This window comes from Homo sapiens, chromosome 1 (assembly GCF_000001405.40).
Source record: "Homo sapiens chromosome 1, GRCh38.p14 Primary Assembly".
NCBI lineage: Eukaryota > Metazoa > Chordata > Mammalia > Primates > Hominidae > Homo > Homo sapiens.
In genome coordinates this window covers 27,664,941-27,688,271 of record NC_000001.11, presented here as the reverse complement: position 1 = coordinate 27,688,271, position 23,331 = coordinate 27,664,941, and the positions used below count along the sequence as shown (strand labels likewise).

The following is a 23,331-nucleotide window of genomic DNA, read 5'->3' as shown; positions in this document are numbered from 1 at the left end:
GATAGGTTTCATATGCAAGCCATGTGGAGCTGGCTTTACAATGACCAGGCATTCACCCGCTAAGGATGCCTGTATATGGCAGATGCAGCTGACAGCCATAACTTAACTGAAGCGTACCCTGAGAATGATCCTAGGGTCTAAGAAGAATGTGTGTTCGGAGTCCTGAGCTAAGGAATCCGGGAGTGGCCAACCCAGAGTTTCACTCCTTATCTATGAAGGACATCTGAGCCCCTGGCTCATTCCTTGGAACACAGGCCATACAGGGGATGGAGTCCCTTTTTGTGGATTAACTGGAGGTTGCTGGGTAGAGGTTGCTAGGTGGAAGGTGCTAAGTGAAAATGCTGTATCAACTGCATGCGTTTCATAAAACGCATGCCCTGTTTCATAAATGCATGCTCCTGTCCAGCCCACCACCACTGGACCATCCCTGTGTGTAAGTTCCCCTCAGTAAACCCTAAGTCTCATTCACTGGTTCCGGCCTCTAGGACACAGTGCCATCCCTATTGGAGTCAACAGGAGTCCTGCATGACAATGCCTATTACCCGGGTCATGATAAATGCTGTGGTTCAGGCAGCCTCTTTTGCATGGGCACCTCATGTAACCTTACTACTGCAAAACTGAGCTATAGTCAGAGAAGCCTTATCAAATTTGCTACCTCAGCTTCCCCTCCTGGGTCTTACGGATGGTAATGAAAACATTAAGGCAACTAACAAGAGAATAGGTAATGGGAGAGGGGAGAATCAAAGGATTTCTCCCACGAAGGCAAACATTTTTAAATGGTTATTAAGAAATAAGGCAAGAGCCACTGGCACCTGATGCCTCCCGGAGTTCATGTCCCTTCTGCCTTTCCAAGGGGTGCTTCTGTCAGACTGGCCAGGGGACAATACCCTGTTCCAGTTGAAATTTATGGTGAAGCAGCTGGAGAAACCAGACAAGAAGGCAGAAAAGCACTCCTACGCCAACCAGGCCAAAGTGAAGAAGTCCCTTCAGCAGAAAAATGTAGAGTGCACCCGTGTGTACACCAAGAACACCATCTGCAAGGAGAACAGCAGCGTGAACTGGCTCTACATGGCATCCGCCTGGACACAGTGGCCCCCGAGGTGCAGACAGCTGTGACCATGAAGGTGGTAACCAAGAACATGGTGTAGGTGACCAAAGCCCCAGACAAGGCCTGAACACCACGGACCTGCAGAAGGCCTCTGCAGCGATGGACAGGTTTGAGTAGCAAGTGCAAAACCTGGCCATGCACACATTAGTGATGGAGGATTCCATGAGCTCGGCCGCCACACTGACCATGCCTCAGGAGCAGGTGGACAGACCCATTGTGCAGAGCGCCAAGGAGAATGGCCTGGAGGTCCTAGACCAGCTCAGCCAGTTGCCCAAGGGTGCCTCTGCCGGGCGAGAGCTCCGTGTGAAGCCAGGAGGAACAGCTGTCAAGGGCGTTAGCCGCCCTGAGGAATTAGCCGCACCCTGCCGTGGGCACCGCCTCTGCTCTGTGATGTGCCGCAAGGCTCCTGGCCTCCTCCCCTCCCCCCGGCATCTTGCCTTTTTGTTGATCCTGCAGAGCTGCAGCTGGCAGCTACTGTCGCCCAGCTCCTCTCACCTGCCTGGCCTAGGTGGCCCTGGAGTTGTTCCTGTTTTCTTAGGTTGGGCGGTGGATCTGTGTCCTGGTGTTGAGTAGGGGTGACTTCTGTGACTCTGGGGCCAACAGCTGGGAGGTCAGCAGGCTCTCTTTTGCTCTCTGTGGAGTCGATGGGGTCTGGCCAGTGGGTGCCATGTAAACTTTTGCTCAACACTGCGGGGACCTTCAGACTCCGTGATAGGAGACATGCTGCTCACTGTCAGCCAGTGGGGGTCAGGGCTGCCCTGTTTTCCAGGCAGCTCCTGGAGAAGGCCTCTCCACGCACCCTGCCCCTACCACCAATGGGCAGGAGGTCCCACCATGTGAACGGACACAGCCTGAAGAGGCACCAGTGGCTCGTGTGTGCTGGGGAACGTCAGGTGCCACCCAACACTGTCTTGGTGGCATTTACAGATGATGACCCTCCCCCTCTTCCTCCTCTGTCATTCTAGGGGTGGGGTCTGGGCTGCTCCTGACAGCTGGCTGAGCCTCCCTGGGCCTCCTGCCCTCAGCTCCCCTGGTTCTTAAAGCTGCCCAGTCCATGGGGACAGAAACTTGCCCAGCTCCAAATCCAGGAGTTTCCACCCTGGGGTCCTCATCCTTGCTCATCTGCCACCTCTGGAGGTGCCTTGGGCTACATGGGCTGTGCTGTTGTGTCCCCTCAGCAGGGGGTCTGTCCATGCACTGGCCAGAATTGAGCATGTGCGTGGGGCCTCCTCGGTGATGCTGCCTGTGTGCCAATCTCTTCTGTCTCTCTAAATAACTGGGTGCCTCCCCCGACTGCACCCCATCCTACCTTCCCAGCGTGGAAGCCAGAGTGGCTGGTGAAGGGAGCTTAGGAGAGTCACCTTCAGCTGGGCCAGTGGCTCTGTGAGGAAAACCTGTGCTGTGGCCACGCGGGCACCACCAGCTGCAGCTCATCAGGAGGACTCGGAGAGGGGGACGGCAGAGAGAGGGCTTTGGGCACAGCCTGCTGTTTTGTTTTTTCTGTTCCCTAAAGTTTACTTCATTTTCTTGAAGCTTCCAGGGTTTTGTTGTTGTTTGCCAAAGTAGAAAGGACAGGTGGCAGGCGGGGAGGGTGAGTCCCAGCCCCTCCTCTGCACCAGGGCTGCCGCGGTGTCATGGCTCTTATGAAGGGAAGCATAAGACCCTCACTCAGTGCGTTTGGTTTTCTTTTCAGGATTTCAGAGCCCCTGGGAGGAGATCCCATTGGTGGGTCTGGACATGCGGAGGTCAAGGCACCATCTGGCCATGGTCCTCTCCAGCCTCCCCAGAAATTGACCCACATGCTGGGTGTTGAAACAAGGTCCCTCTATCCCTTGCAAATAACAGCTTTGGAATTAACAGCTTTGGGGAGCTACCTTGTCCTCCCAAGGGTGCAGGGCTCCACAGAGCCAAGGGCCAGGCAGGGGCTACCTCAGCCCTGTCTCCTTGGGCACCAAAGCAGGGATTTGTTGAAGGAGAGAGCCATGTTTGCCCTTTTCCTAAAATGCTGCTGTAAATAAACAGGTCCCCCAGCAAGCAAGGAAGCAAAGGAAGGAAGGAAGGAAGGAAGGAAGGAGAAGGAAAGAAGAAAGGAGAGAGAGGGAGGGAGAGAAAGAAGAGAACACTGATAAGGGTGAAACTAAGAGGAAAAAGAAAGGGGAGAGTCATGAGACTCGTCTGAGCAGGATGGAAATCCTTAGATGGTTATTAAGAAATAGGATGAGTAAAATAAAAATTAATGAGGTTTTAAAAAAGGAAATTAATGCAGTGAAAACAAATGTCTTTTTTTTTTTTTTTTTTTTTTTTTTGAGACAGAGTCTCGCTCTGTCACCCAGGCTGGAGTGCAGTGGCATGATCTCAGCTCACTGTAACCTCTGCCTCCTGGGTTCAAGCAATTCTCCTGCCTCAGCTTCCCAAGTAACTGGGATTACAGGGACCTGCCACCACGCCTGGCTAATTTTTGTATTTTTAGTAGAGATGGGGTTTTGGCATGTTGGCCAGGGTAGTCTTGAACTCCTGACTTCAGGTGATCTGCCAGCCTCGGCCTCCCAAAGTGCTGGGATTACAGTCATGAGCCACTGCGCGTGGCCAAAATAAATGTCTTAATACAACACTATTGAAGGTTGGGTGGACCAAAGAGAGTCTCTGATGGTCTTCAACATTAAAGGCCCCAAACCAGTTTGCTCTATTTCCTCCAGTTTGGTGGAATTTTAAAAGCAGGAAGGTAAAGATTTACAATAAGAAACCCTACCTGGAATTGCCTGGGGTGATGGTCAGACTGGTTAATCAAGGGAAGATTGACAGAGAGGCCAGAGTCTCCTGGCCTGGCCTCTGGCTAAGGACCTAAACACTTATTGCCCAAGAGAGAATAAAATGGTCTGGGGAGGGGGTGGAGAAGAGAAGTTCCCGGGACATAAAAATATACTTGGTCAACAGGATTCTGAAAGTGGGAATGTCTAAACAGGCTTTACGTAAAGGCTTAATGTAAAGTGGTTGTGTCTCCTTTACCTAATGTTTTATGGAAATGGGCATTGTATATGACAGGGTTGTTCCCTCTACCTAGAACTGTAAAACAGAAGGCATGTAAATCCACCCTTCTGGAAATTTTAGTTGGACATGCTAAATGGAAACCCAAGCCCACACTGTAGAGTAGAAGCTGGAGTGCTGATAGGGACAAGTTCTCCATTCGATAGCTCTTTGTGGAGCATTTGCTGGGGCTATGACAAAAGCCTATGAGTGGCTGGGCATGGTGGCTCATACCTGTAATCCCAGCAATTTGGGAGGACAAGGCAAGAGGATCATCTGAGGTCAGGAGTTCAAAACCAGCCTGGCCAACATGGGGAAACCGCATCTCCACTAAAAATTTGAAAATTATCCAGGAGTGGTGGTGGGTGCCTGTAATCCCAGCTACTCGGGAGGCTAAGGCAGGAGAATTGCTTGAGCCCGAGAGGTGAGGCAGAGGTTGCAGTGAGCAGAGATGGTGCCACTGCACTCCAGCCTGAGCAACACAGCAAGACTCTGTCTCAGAAAAAAAAAAAAAAGAAGAAGAAGAAGAGAAAAGGCTGTGAGCACCTGCAAGCAAAGACTACTGAGATTTTGGACTAGACAATTTCCACTTGAGGGGCACTTACTAACTTGTTACGGGACATTAACTGAAGCTACCCCTGTGACTGAAGGACATAAAATGATCTTGACACCTGAAATACCCATGCGATCTCAGGTGATGTCACAGAAACACTCAAATAGAGACAGCAGTGTCCAGAAGAGTTCCATAACAAAATGGAAATGGCTTATACAGAAGCATGCTACCTGGGGAGTGCCAGGAGGAGATAAAAGAAAGGAGCCTCTTTTCTGCTAGGACTGGTTTGCGTGAGGAGCTGCTGGCTTCTACAGTGTCCCATAACGGCTCTCAACTGGCCAGCAAACAGCTTGGTTTGTGGATGGCAGTTCCAAGGTGAATGGACAACATTCTGTTTGGAAGGCTGCTCTGTTGATCAAAGAAGTGTGAAAATAAATAAAATGTAAACCTTGTTGGAACCCCACAAACACCTTAAGCTTTGAGAGAGATGTGACTGTGATCTTGTAGCAGGACAAGCCACGGACAAAACCCCTCAGACACTGAGTTAAAGAAGGAAGGGCTTTATTCGGCTGGGAGCTTCGGCAAGACTCACATCTCCAAAAACCGAGCTCCCCAAGTGAGCAATTCCTGTCCCTTTTAAGGGCTTACAACTCTTAGGAGGTCCATGTGAGAGGGTCATGATCGATTGAGCAAGCAGGGGGTATGTGACTGGGGGTGGCAGGCACTGGTAATCAGATCGGAACAGAACAGGACAGGGATTTTCACAGTGCTTTTCCATACAATATCTGGAATCTATAGATAACATAACCTGTTAGGTCAGGGGTCAATCTTTAACCAGGCCCAGGGCATGGCGCTGGGCTGTCTGCCTGTGGATTTCATTTCTGCCTTTGAGTTTTTACTTCTCTCTTTGGAGGTAGAAATTAGACAATATGAGGGGTGGTCTCCTCCTTTAATCTGAGTCTCATATGGTTACTACTTCCGTTTCTCAGATTATAGATTAACTCGCTTTCTTGTTTGTCTTATTCTGTACAATGACTAAGAGAGTTACATGATGTCAGGAATAAAAACCACCCTTCTTCCTAATGAATGACCCTTTGTGTAGATTAACTTCCCCATTGTTGTCCTGCTTTGCCTAGACCAGATAACAGAAAACCCATGACTATTACACCCTCTGTAAAAAATTTTAAATGCACCCATTCCAAAAAGAAACACTGCATAAACCAATCAAATTGCTGTACCTATGCACCAATTGTGTGTGAAAAATGTAAGGCCAGGCATGGTGGCTCACACTTGTAATCCCAGCACTTTGGGAGGCCAAGGTGGGAGGATTGCTTGAGGCCAGGAGTTTGAGATCAGCCTGGGAAACAAAGCGAGACCCTGTCTCTACAAAAAGTAAAAAAAATTAATTAGCCAGGTGATATGGTTTGGCTCTGTGTCCCCACTCAAATCTTATCTTATAGCTCCCATAATTCCCACATGTTGTGGGAGGGACCTAGTGTGAGATGATTGAATCATGGGGGCAGGTCTTTCCCATGCTGGTCTCATGATAGTGAATGGGTCTCACAAGATCTGATGGTTTTTAAAATGGGAGTTTCTCTACACAAGCTCTCTATTTGCCTGCCACCATCCACATAAGATATGACTTGCTTCTCCTTGCCTTCCGCCATGATTGTGAGGCCTCCCCAGTCATACGGAACTGTAAGTCCATTAAACCTCTTTCTTTTGTAAATTGCCCAGTCTTGGGTATGTCTTTATCAGCAGCATGAAAATGGACTAATACAGTAAATTGGTACCAGGAGTGGGGCGTTGCTGAAAAGATACCCGAAAATGTGGAAGCTACTTTGGAACTGGGTAACAGGCAGAGGTTGGAACAGTTTGGAGGGCTCAGAAGAAGACAGGAAAATGTGGGAAATTTAGAACTTCCTAGAGACTTGTTGAATGGCTTTGACTAAAATGCTGATAGTGATATGAACAATAAGGTCCAGGCTGATGTGTTCTCAAATGGAGATGAGGAACTTGTTGAGAACTGAAGTAAAGGTGACTCTTGTTATGTTAAAGAGACTGGCGGCATTTTGCCCCTGCCTTAGAGATTTGTGAAACTTTGAACTTGAGAGAGATGATTTAGGGTATCTGGTGGAAGAAATTTCTAAGCAGCAAAGCATTCAACAGGTGACTTGGGTGCTGTTAAAGGCATTCAGTTTCAAAAGGGAAACACTATAACAAAATTTGAGGGGTGCATTAAAGTTTGGAAAATTTGCAGCCTGACAATGCAATAGAAAAGAAAATCCCATTTTCTGAGGTGACTTGGGTGCTGTTAAAGGCATTCAGTTTCAAAAGGGAAATACTGTAAACAAAATTTGAGGAGTGCATTAAAGTTTGGAAAATTTGCAACCTGGCAATGCAATAGAAAAGAAAATCCAGGCCAGGCACGGTGACTCACACCTGTAATCCCAGCACTTTGGGAGGCCGAGGCAAGCGGATCACATTAGGTTGGAAGTTCAAGACAAGCCTGACCAACATGGAGAAACCCCGACTCTACTAAAAATACAAAATTAGCCAGGCGTGGTGGCGCATGCCTGTAATCCCAGCTACTCAGGAGGCTGAGTCAGGAGAATCGCTTGAACCCAGAAGGCAGAGGTTGCAGTGAGCTGAGATCATGCCATTGCACTCTAGCCTGGACAACAAGAGTGAAACTCCATCTCAAAAAAAAAAAAAAAAAAAAAAAAAAAGAAAGAAAGAAAGAAAGAAAAAGAAAAAGAAAAAAGAAAAGAAAAGAAAATCCCATTTTCTGAGGAGAAATTAAAGCTGGCTGCAGAAATTTGCATAAGTAACAAGGAACTGAGTGTTAATCACCAAGACAATGGGAAAAATGTCTCCAGGGCATGTCAGAGACATTTGTGGCAGCCCCTCCCATCACAGGCCTGGAGGCCTAGGAGGAAAAAGTGGTTTCATCAGCTGGGCCCAGGGTCCCCAAGTTGTATGCAGCCTAGGGACTTGGTGCCCTGTGTCCCAGCCACTCCAGCTGTGGCTTCAGAGGGTGCAAACCTCAAGCCTTGGCAGCTTCCATGTGGTGGTGAGCCTACAAGTGTGCAGAAGTCAAGAACTGAGGTTTGGGAACCTCCACCTAGATTTCAGAAGATGTATGGAAATGCCTAGATGCCCAGGCAGAAGTTTACTGCAGGGGTGGGGCCCTCCTGGAGAATCTCTGCTAGGGCAGTGCGGAAGGGAAATGTGGGGTCAGAGCCCCCACACAGAGTCCTTACTGGGGCACCATCTAGTGGAGCTGTGAGAAGAGGGCCACCATCCTCCAGACCCCAGAATTATAGATCCACTGACAGCTTGCACCGTGCACCTGGAAAAGCCGCAAACACTCAACACCAGCCCATGAAAGCAGCCGTGAGGGAGGCTGTACCCTGCAAGGCCACAGGACTGGAGCTGCACAAGACTATGGGGACATACCTCTTATATCAGCATGACCTGTATGTGAGACATGGAGTCACAGGAGCTCATTTTGGAGCTTTAATATTTGACTGCCCCCCCCTGGATTTCAGAGTTGCATGGGGCCTGTAGCCCCTTTGTTTTGGCCAATTTCTCCCACTTGGAATGGCTGTATTTACCCAATGCCTGTACCCCCATTGTATCTAGGAATTAACCAACTTGCTTTTGATTTTACAGGCTCATAGGTGGAAGGGACTTGCCTTGTCTAGGATGAGACTTTGGACTGTGGACTTTTGAGTTAATGCTGAAATGAATTGAGACTTGGGGGACTGTTGGGAAGGCATGATTGGTTTTGAAATGTAAAGATATGATATTTGGGAGGGGCTGGGGCAGAATGATATGGTTTGGCTCTGTGTCCCCACCCAAATCTCATCTTGTAGCTCCCATAATTCCCACATGTTGCAGGAGGGACAGTGTGGGAGACGACTGAATCATGGGGTAAGGTCTTTCCCCTGCTTTTCTTGTGATAGTGAATGGCTCTCACAAGATCTGATGGTTTTAAAAATGGGAGTTTCAGCCAGGCATGATGTACGCCTGTAATCCCAGCACTTTGGGAGGCTAAGGCGGGCAGATCACCTGATGTCAGGAGTTCGAGATCAGCCTGGCCAACATGGTGAAACCCCATCTCTACTAAAAATACAAAAATTAGCCAGGTGTAGTGGCATGGGCCTGTAATCCCAGCTACTCGGGGGGCTGAGGCAGGAGAATCGCTTGAACCGGGAGGTGGTGATTGTACTGAGCTGAAATTGTGCCACTGCACTCCAGCCTGGGCAACAAAGTGAGAACTTGTCTCAAAAAAAAAAAAAAAAAAAAAAAAAAAGACATACAACTCAAAAGATATTGCCATAATTAGCTGAGCATGGTGGTGCCCACCTGTAGTCCCAGCTACTTGGGAGGCTGAGGTGGGAGGATCACTTGAGCCCGGGAGGTTGAGGCTACAGTGAGCTGTGATCACAACACTGAACTCCAGCCTGGGTGACAGAGCAAGACCCTGTCCCCTGCCCCTGCAAAAAAGATACTGCCACTTTACTAAAATCCTATTCAATCATTAATAGTTAGTCCCATCCATCATATTGTATGAATGTCTCCCAGGGTGATGTCATTCAGGTTTGCAGGCTTCCATTCAATCTTGTCAGGTTCCAAAAGCAGGAGTGATCTCACCAAATATATATCACTCTTTCTGACATCTGGGATAACTGACCACAGACAATGTCATCTCTTGCTCTGAGCTCCTTTTGAGGTGTTAATGTAATATTGGGTTTCCCTCAATTCATAATCCATTTATTAAATTCTTTACCCTCAGCTACTATCCCTCTTTCTCTCCATTAATATCCAAAGATTTTACCTTTGGAAGGGACATTAAGATTGCCACTGTGCTGGTCTAGATTGCAGCCAGCAATACTAGTCTAGTAAGTACTCCTTAGTTCACTCCAATTTGAATAGGATAAGGTAGCAAAGGTGCAGAACTTGGCGGGTGATTTTTACCACCAGGCAGTAGGGCTGCATTCATTGTTAACTCCAATTTTGCACAACCCACCTCCATCAGGCCTTTAGGAATTGTGACATAAAGTTTAAAAACGTAGTTCTAGTTTTTTGCTTAGGAATCATCCCTGCTGCCAGCACTTTCCAGAACTCAGGGAAACACTTATATTTACTAGTTTATTATAAGGGATACTACAAGTGGGGACTGTGATATTATAGCTGCAGCCCTGATCCTAGGACTACATCAGGAAGAGGAGGAAAAAAAATTTTTTTGAAGTGATTTGGGGAAGAAAGAAAAACAGTTATGGCCATTGTACCAGTGTACTCCTCCCTTGGCAAGAATTGAATAATCATACCAGCATCCTCCTTGCTCCCTTTTTTCCTGATCTATTGGAAAAAATGAGGAAAATCTAGTGGGGCCACTCCTTTAGTCTCCACTTGTGTTGTGTGTGAGCAACATGTAAGCCAGCCCTTCATGCTTTCATCTCCCCCTATTTTAGACAACAAATGTTTCAATTACCCACTCCACTTCTCTATCAAACTATTACTTTGAGGAGGATATCTCTCTGCCCATTATTATTATTTTATTTTAATTCCTTTTTTTTTTTTTTTTTTTGAGACAGGGTCTTGCTCTGTCACCCAGGTTGGAGTGCAGTGGTGCAATCACAGCTCACTGCAGCCTCGACCTCCCAGGCTCAAGCGATCCTCCCATTTCAGCCTCCAAAGTAGCTGGGACTACAGGTGGGCACCACCATGCTTGGCTAATTATGGCAGTATCTTTTGAATTTTATGTCCTTTTTTTTTAGACAGGGTCTTGCTCTGTCTTGGAGTGCATGGAGTGCAATGGTGTGATCTCGGTTCACTGCAACCTCCGCCTCCCGGTTCAAGCAATCCTCCTGCCTCAGCCTCCCGAGTAGCTGGGGAGTTGTATGTACTTTTTGTTTTTGTTTTTTGTTTTGTTTTGTTTTTTTTGAGACAGAGTCTCGCTCAGTCGCCCAGGCTGAGTGCAGTGGCGGGATCTCGGCTCACTGCAAGCTCCGCCTCTCAGGCTCACGCCATTCTCCTGCCTCAGCCTCCTGAGTACTACAGGCGCCCGCCACCACACCCGGCTAATTTTTTTTTTATTTTTAGTAGAGATGGGGTTTCACCCTGTTAGCCAGGATGATCTCGATCTCCTGACCTCAACCCACCTCAGCCTCCCAAAGTGCTGGGATTATAGGCATGAGCCACTGCACCCGGCCTTGTATGTACTTTTGATGTAAGAAATTTTGGTTTTTAGAGGACGGGTTAATAGGTGCAGCAAACCACCATGGCACACATATACCTATGTAACAAACCTGCACGTTTTGCACGTGTATCCCAGAACCTAAATTAAAATTAAAAAAAAAAAGAAAAAGAAAGAAATTTGGGTTTGAAGGCCTGGTGCAGTGGCTCATGCCAGTAATCCCAGCACTTTGGGAGGCTGAGACAGGTGGATCACTTGAGGTCAGGAGTTCAAGACCAGCCTGGCCAACATGGTGAAACCCTGTTTCTACCAAAAATACAAAAATTAGGCAGGTATGGTGGCACATGCTTGTAATCCCAGCTACTTGGGAGGCTGAGGCAGGAGGATCACTTGAACCTGGGAGGTGGAGACTGCAGTGAGCCAAGATCATGCCACTGCACTCCAGCCTGGGCAACAGAACCACCATCTCAAAAAAAAAAAAAAAAATGGGGTTTGAAGACCAGAGGTGGACAGTGATATTGTGAAATAGATATTTGAAATAGATAACGAAGCCTCCATAAAAAACCAAAAAGACAAGGTTCCGAGAGCTTCCCAATAGCTGAACACATGGATGTTCCTGGAGGATGCTGTGCCCATTCCCCCATACCTCATTTCCTGGCATACAATTCCTAAAATCCTTGGTATCTCCAAAGTGATGCCTTTTGTGTGCTAATGATTTCTTATTTGTTTATTTTTTAGAGATGGGATCTCACTGTGTTGCCCAGGCTAGACTTGAATTTCTAGGCTCAAGCAATCTTCCCACCTCAGCCTCTCAAATAGCTTGGACTATAGGTGTATGCCACCATGCTTTGTATACTAATGATTGACTGATGGCCAGCAGTCTCTAGGTAGCTTCAGGATGGGGCTGGTCACTGGGAAGACCAAGGCAAGGTTAGAGGGTTGGGACTTTCAGCTCCACCCACTGAAGGGGAGAGGGACTGAAAGTCAAGTTGATCACCAGTGGCCAATGGTTTAATCAATCATTCCTATGTAATGAAGCCTCCATAAAAAAGCAAAAAGACAGAGTTCCGAGAGCTTCCCAATAGCTGAACACATGGATGTTCCTGGAGGACGCTGTGCCCATTCCCCCATACCTCACCCAACACATCTCTTCATGTAGCCTTTCTAATTTCCTGTGTAGTAAACTGCTAACTGTGTTTCCCTGTGCTCTAGGAGCCTCTCTAGCACATGAATTAAACCCAAAGAAGGGATTATGGGAATCCCAACTTGTAACCAGTCGGAAGTTCCAGAAGCCCTGATTTGTGTCTTGAGGGTGAGAGTTGAGGAGTCCCTCAACCTGTAGGATCGATGCTCTCTCCAGGTAGACAGTGTCAGAATTGAATTGGAGGCTGGGCACAGTGGCCTATGCCTGTAATCCCAGCACTTTGAGAGGCTGAGGCGGGCAGATCCCTTGAGCCCAGGAGTTCGAGACCACCTGGCCAACATGGCAAAACCCCATCTTTACAAAAAATACAAAAATTACCTGGGCATGGTGGTGCACCCCTATAGTCCCAGCTACTCGGGAGGCTGAGGCAGGAGGATCGCTTGAACACAGGAGGTCGAGGCTGCAGTGAGCCGTGATTGAGCCAGCCTTGGTGACACAGTGAGACCCTGTCTGAAGAAAAGAAAAAAAGTGCTCACTTCAGCAGCACATATACTAAAATTGGAATGATACAGGGAAGATTAGCATGGCCCCTGTGCAAGGATGATACACAAATTCATGAAGCGTTCCATATTTTTATTTTAATAATTAAAAAAAAAAAGAATTGAGGCCAGGCAAGGTGGCTCACGCCTATAATCCCAGCACTCTGGGAGGCCGAGGTAGGCAGATCACCTGAGGTTGGGAGTTCGAGACCAGCCTGACCAACATGGAGAAACCCCGTCTCTACTAAAAATACAAAATTAGCCGGGTGTGGTGGTGCATGCCTGTAATCCCAGCTACATGGGAGGCTGAGTCAGGAGAATCGCTTGAAGCCGGGAGGCGGAGGTTGCGGTGAGCCGAGATAGTACCACTGCACTCCAGCCTGGGCGACAAGAGTGAAACTCCATCTCAAAAAAAAAAAAAAAGAAAAAAAAAATTGAATCGGAGGACACCCAGCTGGTGTCTGCTGCTTGGGGCGTGAGAAAAAAAACCCACCCACACATCTGGTCTGTGGCGATTGTTGTGTTCAGTGAGAGAATAGAAAACGCAGGCCGGGCGCGGTGGCTCCCGCCTATAATCCCAGCACTTTGGGAGGCCGAGGTGGGGGGATCGCGAGGTCAAGAGATCGAGACTATCCTGGCTAACACAGTGAAACCCTGTCTCTACTAAAAATACAAAAAATTAGCCAGGCGTGGGGACGGGCGGCTGTAGTCCCCGCTACTCGGGAGGCTGAGGCAGGAGAATGGCGTGAACCCGGGAGGTGGAGCTTGCAGTGAGCCAAGATCGCGCCACTGCACTCCAGCCTGGGCGACAGACCGAGACTCTGTCTCAAAAGAAAAGAAAAGAAAAGAAAAGAAAAAGCACATTAGGTCATTTTGGTTTTTTTCTTTCCTCTTAACTGTGTAGCAGGTTCAGGCCACAAAACAAGCTATGCTGCCACTTCTGATTATATGATCCTACAATGTTGCTGGATGTATCTGTGTGAAGGTGGATAACAATTCTGTAGGGAGGGAGAAAAAAGATTCTGTAGAAAGTTTCTGAAAGCCCACATAGGAGAATTACGGTTAGGATTCTTAGGATTCTGCAGTAAGGCTATGCTTACTGTGGTCCCTTTGGGAAAAGAGGCCCTGATGTGTCACTGGGCCCCAGTAGTGACTACACATCTCACCACTGGGTGCCAGGTAGCTATATATCTTAAGTTGGGTATTATCAGAAAGGTAGAGCAGCAGTTCCATATGTGATGGAAGCTGGGCGCATTGGCTCATGCCTGTAATCCCAGCACTTTAAGACCTCGAGGCAGAAGGATCACTTGGAGCCAGGAGTTGGAGACTAGCATGGGCAATGTAGTGAGACCTCCATCTCTAAAAGAAATATAAAAATTAGCTGGGTGTGGTGGCACATGCCTATAGTCCCAGATACTTGGGAGGGTGAGTTGGGAGGATTTCTTGAGCCTAGGAAGTCAAGGCTGCGGTAAGCTATGATTGTACCACTGCACTCCAGCCCCGGCAACAGAGTGAGACCCTGTCTCTAACAAACCAACCAACCAACCGACAAAACAACAAAGAGGCCAGGCACAGCAGCTCACACCTGTAATCTCAGCACTTTGGGAGGTAGAGGTGGGTGGATCACCTGAGGTCAGGAGTTCAAGACCAGCCTGGCCAACATGGCAAAACCCCATCTCTACTAAAAATACAAAAAACATTAGCCGGGCATGGTGGCGCGCACCTGTAATCCCAGCTACTTGGGAGGCTGAGGCAGGAGAATCGCTTGAACCCAGGAGGCAGAGGTTGCAGTAAACCAAGATCACACCACTGCACTCCAGCCTGGGGAACAGTGCAAGACTGTCTCAAAAACAAAAACAAAAACAACAAAAAACAAAGAACAAAACAAAACAAAAAATATATGATGGAAATGGTATATTCAAGGCTGAGCAAAGGGGTCTAAAAGGCTTGAGTAAATTAAATAAACAGGGAGCTCAGAGTCCTGTGGCGCCCAACTCTGTTTCTCTGGGTTTTCTCTTTGACCCATATATATGGCCTCATGGAGTGTTCCCAGCAACCAACAGATAATGGAGGAAAGGAGTCAAACTCAATTCACAGATAAGTCAGTATAATATTTTGGTATCAGCTGGAAACGGACCACTCTATTACAGCCCCATTTGGGGGTGGCACTGAATAATAGTGAATCCTCCCAGGGGGCAGAACTAGGAGCAGTATACCGTGTTGTTCCCTCTGTATGCAGAGAGAGAGAGAGAGAGATGGACTGAAGTACAGACATACACCAATTCCTAATAAGAGGCAAATGGCTTGGCTGGTTGGTCAAAGGCATGGATGGAACAAGATTGGAAGATTGGGAATAAGCAGGTGTGGGTTAGGGGCATAAGAATGAACTCTGAATGGGCATAAAGCACCTGGATCTCTATGTCTCATGTTAATGCTGACCAGAGATCATCTGCTGCAGAGGAGGCTCTACAGCCCAATGGCCAGGATGTCCCATCCTGTGGATGTCAGCCAGCCTCTAAACTTAGCCTCACTATTGCCTTGCAATAGACCTATGAGTGTCCAAGGTGGTAAGGATGGGGGTTAGAAATGAGTCCAACAACTTGGGCTCCCTCTCACCAAAACTGATCTGGCAATTGCCAAAATATAGCCAATCTGCCAGCAGCAGGTAGCAATATGGCAAAATTTCTCAATGAGAATAGCCAGCCATCTGGTGGCAGGTCAATTATTTCAGACCCCTTCCACTTGGGAGAAGGCAATGATTCATCCTTACTGGAATTTCTATGTTCTCCAAATAGAGGTTGCATTTCTGACCCATAGCACTTCAAGCATCACCATCCAAAGGCTTTAAAGAATGCTCAGTTCATTACCTAGGGCCAGGGGACCCATCTTGAAACTCAAGATCTATCATGATGGCCACATGAACACAGGCTTCACTGGTCTTACCATATGCCCATGACCCAGAAGCAGCCAGCCTGAGAGAACAATGGAACAAAGTGACTTAATTTCCAAAGTTCTGGGGGTTTATAAACAGCATATGGTATGTCACATGACTACTGTGGGATTGGAAAAAGATCATGTAAATAGAGCACTTTGCACAGACCCTGGCATGCAGCAAGTGCTCAATAAATGATAGGTGTTGTTTACTAATTGGACTGAATGGTGAAAGGCCTGTGTGCCCCAGGGGGAGCTGGTGATCAGGCTTCACTAAGCCCAGTATGGCCGTGGCTCTCATCATAGTGTGACATGCTTTGAATACCCTTAGCGGCTCCAAAAGTCCTCAGCTTGAAGTGCATTTTTCTGCCAGCAGGCAGCACACAAATGTTCCCGCTGGGCGGAGCTGGGAGAGAGGGGAAAATGAAACTCTGCAGAGTGCAGGAGCTGGGAGAGAGGGGAAAATGAAACTGCAGAGTGCAGAAATAGAAACTCCGACAGGGATTGGCTGCCTAGGGTGAGACGTGGGAGGATCCACAAGTGATGATAAAAAGCCAGCCTTCAGCCGGAGAACCGTTTACTCGCTGCTGTGCCCATCTATCAGCAGGCTCCGGGCTGAAGATTGCTTCTCTTCTCTCCTCCAAGGTAAACTCAGGAGCTATGAAGTGTGGGCATCAAGCTGCCACCCTCTGCCAGGCTGCCTGTCTGCCTGTAAATCTCATGTTCTGAGAGCCAGGAGGCCCCTTCTCCTGGGAGGCAGCACTCCTGGGTCCCTTTTAGTGCTCTGGGCTGGGACTTGTCTAAGAGGATGGGTTGGAGATTTTTAGGGAGATGGGATGCAAAACCCCAAGTGGCATGAGACCCAGCTTACAGGTGCAATATCAGCGATCTGTGGCCTTAACACTGTCACCTCTTGGAGCCTTAATTACTTCCTCTGTAAAAGGAAAGTTAAGTTGCCTTTGCTGCTCAAAGGACTGGATGATTTTAGAATCCCCTTTATTATAGGATCCAATGTGACAGTGAGTTCATCTTTAAGGATAGATGAAGCCATCTGGAGTGGTTGTTAAAAATGTGGGCTTGGTGGCCGGGCGTGGTGGTTCACGCCTGTAATCCCAGCACTTTGGGAGGCCGAGACCCACGGATCACGAGGTCAGGAGATCGAGACCATCCTGGCTAACACAGTGAAACCCTGTCTCTACTAAAAATACAAAAAAAATTAGCCGGGCTTGGTGGTGGGCGCCTGTAGTCTCAGCTACTCGGGAGGCTGAGGCAGGCAGGAGAATGGCATGAACCTGGGAGGTGGAGCTTGCAGTGAGATGAGATTGCGCCACTGCACTCCAGCCTGGGCGACAGAGAAAGACTCCATCTCAAAAAAAAAAAAAAAAAAATGTGGGCTTGGGTATTAGCCAATTGTGGGTTTAAACCCTGACTTTGCCATGACCTGGCTAGGCAGCCTTGGGAATATTACTTAACCTCTCTGAGCTTCAGTTTCCTTATCTATAACATGTGGTTGATAACAATGGTACCTACTTCGTGGTGTTGTTATAGGTACAAGTGGACTGCGTGCCATAAAGTGCTAAGTACTCAATACATGAGAGGAGTTTCTTGTTTTTCTTTTTAACTTAAGAAAATAGCATTGATCTGACAAAGATCATATTAGAGGTGAGTCTGAGGGCATATGCATTTTCCAGTTTTGTGGTATAAAGGAAAGAGCATAGGTTCATGAATTCTGACTGTCTTGAATGTGTACCCATGTTGCACAATTTGCTGTGTGACCTTTATCCCTTGTGATATTGTAAAATATATTTTTTCATCCCCCAGTTCCTGGCATACAACTCCTAAAATCCTTGGAATCTTCAAAGTGATAAATATCTTTTGAGTGATAACTGTCTAATAAGTTGACTGATGGCTGGCATTTCCTCTGGGGAGGGGAGAGGGGCTGAAGGTTAAGCTGATTACCAATGGGCAGTGATTTAATCAGTCATGCCTATGTAATGAAGCCTCCATAAAAACACAAAAGGACAGGGTTTGACAAGCTTCCAGATAGCCGAATACAAGGAGGTCTCCAGTGGGTGGTGCTTCTGGAGAGGAATGGAAACTCCATGCCCTTTCTCCCATACCTTGCCCTATGCATCTCTTCATCCGGAGCATTTGTAATATCCATAAGGAACCAGTAAATGTAGCTGGGTATGGTGGCTGATGCCTGTAATCTCAGCACTTTGGGAGGCTGAGGCAGGCAGATTGCGTGAGTTCAGGAGTTCAAGATCAGCCTGGGCAACATGGTGAAACCCCATCTCAAAAAAAAAAAAAAAAATTAGTTGGGCGTGGTGGTGCATACCTGTAGTCCCAGCTATGCTGGAGGCTGAGGTGGGAGGATCACTTGAGCCTGGGAGGCGAAGGTCTCAGTGAGCTGAGATGGGGCCACTGCACTCCAGCCTGAGCAATAGAGTGAGACCCTGTCTCAAAACAACAACAAGATCAATTTTTTTTTTTTAAAGAAAGAAACCAGTATATGTAAGTAAAGTGTTTCCCTGAGTTCTGTGAGCTGCTCTAGCAAATTAGTAAAACTGCAGGAGGGAATTGTGGGAACCCCAGTTTATAGTCAGTCAGAAACACAGGTAAAACAACCTAGGGCTTTCGATTGGCAGTCTGGGGGACTGAACCCTCAACATGTGGGATCGGCCACTATCTACCCATAGTGGTGTCAGAATTGAATTTGGGGACCCTCAGCTGGTGTTCACCAGAGGACTGATTGTTTGCTTGCTGGTGGGGAGAAACCCCCACACTTCTGCTGTCAGAAGCCTCTCGTACGGTGAGGGAAACTGAGTTTCTTTTTCCACACACCCTTCTGTGCTTTCTTTCTGAAAAAAAAATTAAGTTGATGTGAGGCCAACGTTTGGTGCCAGTAGATATTCAATGCATTGTAAGAATGAGTTTGTCTTAAAAATTTTTTTAAAGCAAATTCTATGCGTCAGGCACTGTTCAAAGTGCCGGGGATACAGCGTGGAACAGTTATTAAATTAACAAGTACCCTCTGAAATAGACTCTATTAATACCCCAATTTTAGAAATAAACAAACTGAAGCCCAGAGAAGCAAAGTACCCTAGTATCCTGCCCAAGGTCACTTGGGTACAAGGCCAGGAACAACCACAGTCATGATATTGACATCTGCGGAGCTTACCACGTGCCAAACACCGTGCGAATCCGCACAGAATCCGCACACCCACCGGTTGGGGCAGGGACATCTCTGCCACTGATGCGGAGAGGAAACGGATTCCCGAGGCTCCTGAGAGGGATCCTGGGTTCCATTCACCACACCTCGCTGCTTTTTACTGATTCAGTTGGAACTGGAAGGGAAAACAACGGAGCTGATGAGCTCCAAAAATGCTCCGGGGACCATCTCCCTCTCGCCCGTTCGCAGGTCTAGTGACGGAGCCCGCGCGCGGCGCCACCATGCGGCAGAAGGCGGTATCGCTTTTCTTGTGCTACCTGCTGCTCTTCACTTGCAGTGGGGTGGAGGCAGGTGAGAATGCGGGTAAGGATGCAGGTAAGGGGACAGGTAAGGGTGCAGGTAAGGATGCAAGTAAGGGTGCAGGTAAGGATGCGGGTAAGGATGCAGGTAAAGATGCGGGTAAGGATGCAGGTAAGGATGCGGGTAAGGATGCAGGTAAGGGTGCAGGTAAGGATGCGGGTAAGGATGCAGGTAAGGATGCGGGTAAGGATGCAGGTAAGGATGCAGGTAAGGGTGCGGGTAAGGATGCGGGTAAGGATGCAGGTAAGGATGTGGGTAAGGATGCAGGTAAGGGTGCAGGTAAGGGAACAGATAAGGGTGCAGGTAAGGGGACAAGTAAGGAGGCATATAAGGGTGCTGGGGGATGGGAGGAGTGTGGGATAAAGGAGAGAGTTTCAGGGTCCGGGGTGTAGAGGGTCTGGCGTGCTTCTGTAGAGACCCTGGCGTCCATTCCAATGGACAGCGCAGGGTTGGTGTCGCCAGAGTCCCAGATTCAAATCCCACTACTCTGTTCATTCCTCCATCCTACCGAAATTTACTCGATGCTAGTTCTGTGCCAGGCTCGGCGCCTAGGGGAAAGTCCCTTCCCCTCTGTGAGGCTCTCTGAGTAGGAGAGTGGTGGCCCCCGCCTCCAGGAGTGGTCCTGAGCATCAGACACAGAGTAGGGGACCCCTGTGTCCCACCCCAACACCCCCACTACGCTTTGTCTGCTCTCCTGCAGGTAAGAAAAAGTGCTCGGAGAGCTCGGACAGCGGCTCCGGGTTCTGGAAGGCCCTGACCTTCATGGCCGTCGGAGGAGGTGGGTCTGGAGGGCGAGGATCTCGGGCAGGCGGGGCGGGCCTCTGCCGCGGACGCTCCCTCACCTGCTCCTGTTCCTCCAGGACTCGCAGTCGCCGGGCTGCCCGCGCTGGGCTTCACCGGCGCCGGCATCGCGGCCAACTCGGTGGCTGCCTCGCTGATGAGCTGGTCTGCGATCCTGAATGGGGGCGGCGTGCCCGCCGGGGGGCTAGTGGCCACGCTGCAGAGCCTCGGTGAGTGCGGGGCCTGGGCCCCTGGTGGGACGTTCTTTACTATTATTTTCATCATACATCTGGGGAAACTGAGGCACTCAGGAATTAAGTAATTTACTCAAGTAATTAAGTAGTTTACCAGGAATTAAGTGATTCTTTATTTATTTATTTTGAGACAGAGTCTGGCTGTGTCACCCAGGCAGGCTGAAGTGCAGTGGTGTGATCTTGGCTCACTGCAACCTCTGCCTCCCTGGCTCAAGCGATTTTCCTGCCACAGCCTCCCAAGTAGCTGGGATTACAGGCACACGCCACCACGCCCGGCTAATTTTTGTATTTTTAGTAGAGATGGGGTTTCACCATGTTGGCCAGGCTGGCCTCAAACTCCTGACCTCAGCTGATCCGCCCGCCTCGGCGTCCCATAGTGCTAGGATTACAGGCGTGAGTCACCGCGTCCGGCCAGAAATTAAGTAACTTACTCAAGTCTCCCTGCTAGTTTAGACCAGAGCCTAGATTCTGACCCAGTCAGTACAATGCGAGAAGCCCCATTCTCAGCCTCAAAGGCTGGGTGCCTCACTGATGCTTTGGCCAAATCACAAGCCTCAGTTCCCTCAGCGGTGCGTGGGGATGATCATCCTCAGTTTAACATTTTTTGAATCTGCTCAATCTCAGAGACCACAGTAGCAAAGAAACATAGTAGAGTAACTCAAATCAATCTCACACCAAACTGGTCTTGACTTGCACTTTTTGAACACCATGGAGGGAACAGATAACAGAGCTCACAGTGACTCTTCTATCGATTGATCAATCTATTGATCTATTTATTATAGATAAAGGTCAAAACAAGGTCTCACACTGCCAGGTTGGAATGCAGTGCATGATCACAGCTCACAGCAGCCTCGAACTCCCAGGTTTAAGCTATCTTCCTACCTCAGATTCCCAAGTAGCTGGGACTATAGGCGCATACCGCCACACACTGGCTTTTTTTTTTTTTTTTTTTTTTTTTTTTGTAGAGACGGGGTCTCATTGTGTTGCCCAGGATGGTCTTGAATTCCTGGGCTCAAGCAATCCTCCCACTTTGGCCTCCCAAAGTGTTGAGACTGCAAGCATGAGCCACTGTGCTGGCCCAGAGTGACTCATAAAAAATGGCCTTACTTCCCTCTCTCTCCTCTCTCCCCACCCACCCCCACCTCTCTCTCGCGCTCTGAGGCCTCCAAAATCCTGGAGAAAACCTGCCCCTGACAAACTTCCCTCTCTGCCTTTCTGAACCTCGCATCTTCTCTTCTCTCAATTCTGAATGGCAAAAGCCCAAAGAACCAGCCCAAAAGAAGAGAGCCCTGCTCAGACGGGGCCACACCCCTGCAATGGGAGGGGAAGAGTGTGGGCGAGCCCAGGGACACCTCTGGGCTATCAGCTAGTTGTCCTCTCACATGGCACATAGCTGTGACAAGATGAAATGATCCCTGGCTTGTGAACCCCCCACACCCACACAGGGCTCCACGAAGGTGGCTGTTAGCATGATTAATAACATGGCGTTTCCATGGCAGACATCAGGTGAAGGAGCCATTATTTTTGCCTTTTTCATCACTGAAACACATCTCTGATTTGGGATGTCAAGGCAATGGGACTCACTTTGTAGTAGTGCCATCCCCTCTCAGGGCCTCTGTTTCTCCATCTAGACATAAGGGGTTGGACTCAACCAATGGTTTCCAGACATTTGGATTCCCAGGCCTGGCACTTGGGCCCCAGTGACTCATCTGTGTTTGCTTTACAGGGGCTGGTGGCAGCAGCGTCGTCATAGGTAATATTGGTGCCCTGATGGGCTACGCCACCCACAAGTATCTCGATAGTGAGGAGGATGAGGAGTAGCCAGCAGCTCCCAGAACCTCTTCTTCCTTCTTGGCCTAACTCTTCCAGTTAGGATCTAGAACTTTGCCTTTTTTTTTTTTTTTTTTTTTTTGAGATGGGTTCTCACTATATTGTCCAGGCTAGAGTGCAGTGGCTATTCACAGATGCGAACATAGTACACTGCAGCCTCCAACTCCTAGCCTCAAGTGATCCTCCTGTCTCAACCTCCCAAGTAGGATTACAAGCATGCGCCGACGATGCCCAGAATCCAGAACTTTGTCTATCACTCTCCCCAACAACCTAGATGTGAAAACAGAATAAACTTCACCCAGAAAACACTTTGTCCTGCTGTCAATCATGTTTGCAGTGAGAAGCCCAAAACAATCTGGCTCTGGCCTGCACCATCCACACACCCCCATTCCCATTTTCCCCTCGAGTCAACCACAGCTCCTGGAACACAACCAGTTGATTTTGTTTCTGGGCCTTAGCACATGTTGGTCTCTACCTGGATGCCTTCAGAAGCTCATCTGCCTGAAAAACTCCCTTCCATCCTTCCAGACTCAGTTCAGACATCCCCTCCTCTGGACTCCTGCCTAGCAGGTCCTCCTGTATAAATGGACAGGCTTGATTCCACAGGGTGCTTGGGGAGGCAGAACTCAGTTTGTTCTCACTGAGAGAAGCTTCCAGGTACTTCTCTGATTAGGCAGAGATGGAGAAGCCAGGTCTCCGTTCTCTCAAGAAGCGCTAGTGATCACCCTCAGATGGAGAATAAAGGCCAGCCCTTCGCTCTGGGGAAAGGGCGTAACAGCAGCTTTTCGAGGGCTCGGCAAGGTCCCCCTTTCCTCATAGGACTCTGGGGATAGGGAGAACAGTTTGCATATGGAATTCACAGCCCTTCTGAATAGGAAGGAGAAGACAACCCAAGCACATAGGAAGCATTCCGTAAATGTCAGTTATGATTGATGAAGGACTTGCATAAAACAAAGAGGGAACAGCCAAGTGACAACCAGGAATTAGCTCATCTGACTTTGGAGTCAGGGTTTACTCTCTGGGGCTCACAGACCATATTCTTCCTTTCTTCCAAAGTTGGCACCAAACTAGGGTCTCTGCCCTTAGAAGAAGCCCCCTCCACTTATTCCCTTGGACAACATCAAGGCCAGAGAGATGGGCAGCCCTGCCCCAGGATTTTAGATCTGAGGCCTCAGCAGTCCTCAGGCTGAATGACACTGGAAATGACCAGTTCTTTATGGGAGACTCCACCTTCCCCAGGATCCCTTGGGACCGGCCTGCGCAGGATAACTCCTTGCCTTCATTCTGTAAGTGATGGCAGGGGCAAAGGACACCACAGCGGATGGGACCCAGTTCCTACCTACTTGAGGCTCACGATGCACAAATGAGGACCCCACCTTTTCCTTCCCTGTCACCACCTCCCCGCCCCCATCTCCTTTCACCCACCCTCAC

At 48.6% G+C, this 23,331-nt stretch overlaps 1 protein-coding gene and 2 pseudogenes across 3 annotated transcripts, besides 3 other annotated features; all 3 read left to right on the top strand.

Moving 5' to 3' along the window:
- Positions 832-1,463, top strand: CHMP1AP1 (charged multivesicular body protein 1A pseudogene 1; annotated as a pseudogene).
- Positions 5,520-5,814: an enhancer, noted in NCBI's record as "tiled region #2074; HepG2 Activating DNase matched - State 2:TssF". NCBI's record gives its function as "activates a minimal TATA promoter and a strong SV40 promoter by Sharpr-MPRA in HepG2 cells {active_cell/tissue: HepG2}" and the evidence as "EXISTENCE:reporter gene assay evidence [ECO:0000049][PMID:27701403]".
- Positions 12,563-12,669, top strand: RNU6-949P (RNA, U6 small nuclear 949, pseudogene; annotated as a pseudogene).
- Positions 15,709-16,048: an enhancer, noted in NCBI's record as "active region_568". NCBI's record gives its function as "activates an Ori minimal core promoter by ATAC-STARR-seq in GM12878 lymphoblastoid cells {active_cell/tissue: GM12878}" and the evidence as "EXISTENCE:reporter gene assay evidence [ECO:0000049][PMID:35858748]".
- Positions 16,080-22,208, top strand: IFI6 (interferon alpha inducible protein 6). 3 transcript variants are annotated; one of them, NM_002038.4, is made up of 5 exons: positions 16,080-16,149; positions 18,926-19,027; positions 19,737-19,814; positions 19,897-20,046; positions 21,797-22,208. In NM_002038.4, the coding sequence occupies exons 2-5, from the start codon at positions 18,958-18,960 to the stop codon at positions 21,889-21,891; spliced, it is 393 nt and encodes a 130-aa protein (NP_002029.3). In that variant the 5' UTR covers positions 16,080-16,149; positions 18,926-18,957; the 3' UTR covers positions 21,892-22,208. The 3 variants fall into 3 exon arrangements, with proteins under 3 accessions (NP_002029.3, NP_075010.1, NP_075011.1); NM_022872.3 differs by having other exon boundaries at positions 18,926-19,039; NM_022873.3 differs by having other exon boundaries at positions 18,926-19,051.
- Positions 18,827-18,886: an enhancer, noted in NCBI's record as "active region_567". NCBI's record gives its function as "activates an Ori minimal core promoter by ATAC-STARR-seq in GM12878 lymphoblastoid cells {active_cell/tissue: GM12878}" and the evidence as "EXISTENCE:reporter gene assay evidence [ECO:0000049][PMID:35858748]".
- Positions 22,209-23,331: the final 1,123 nt, after the last annotated feature.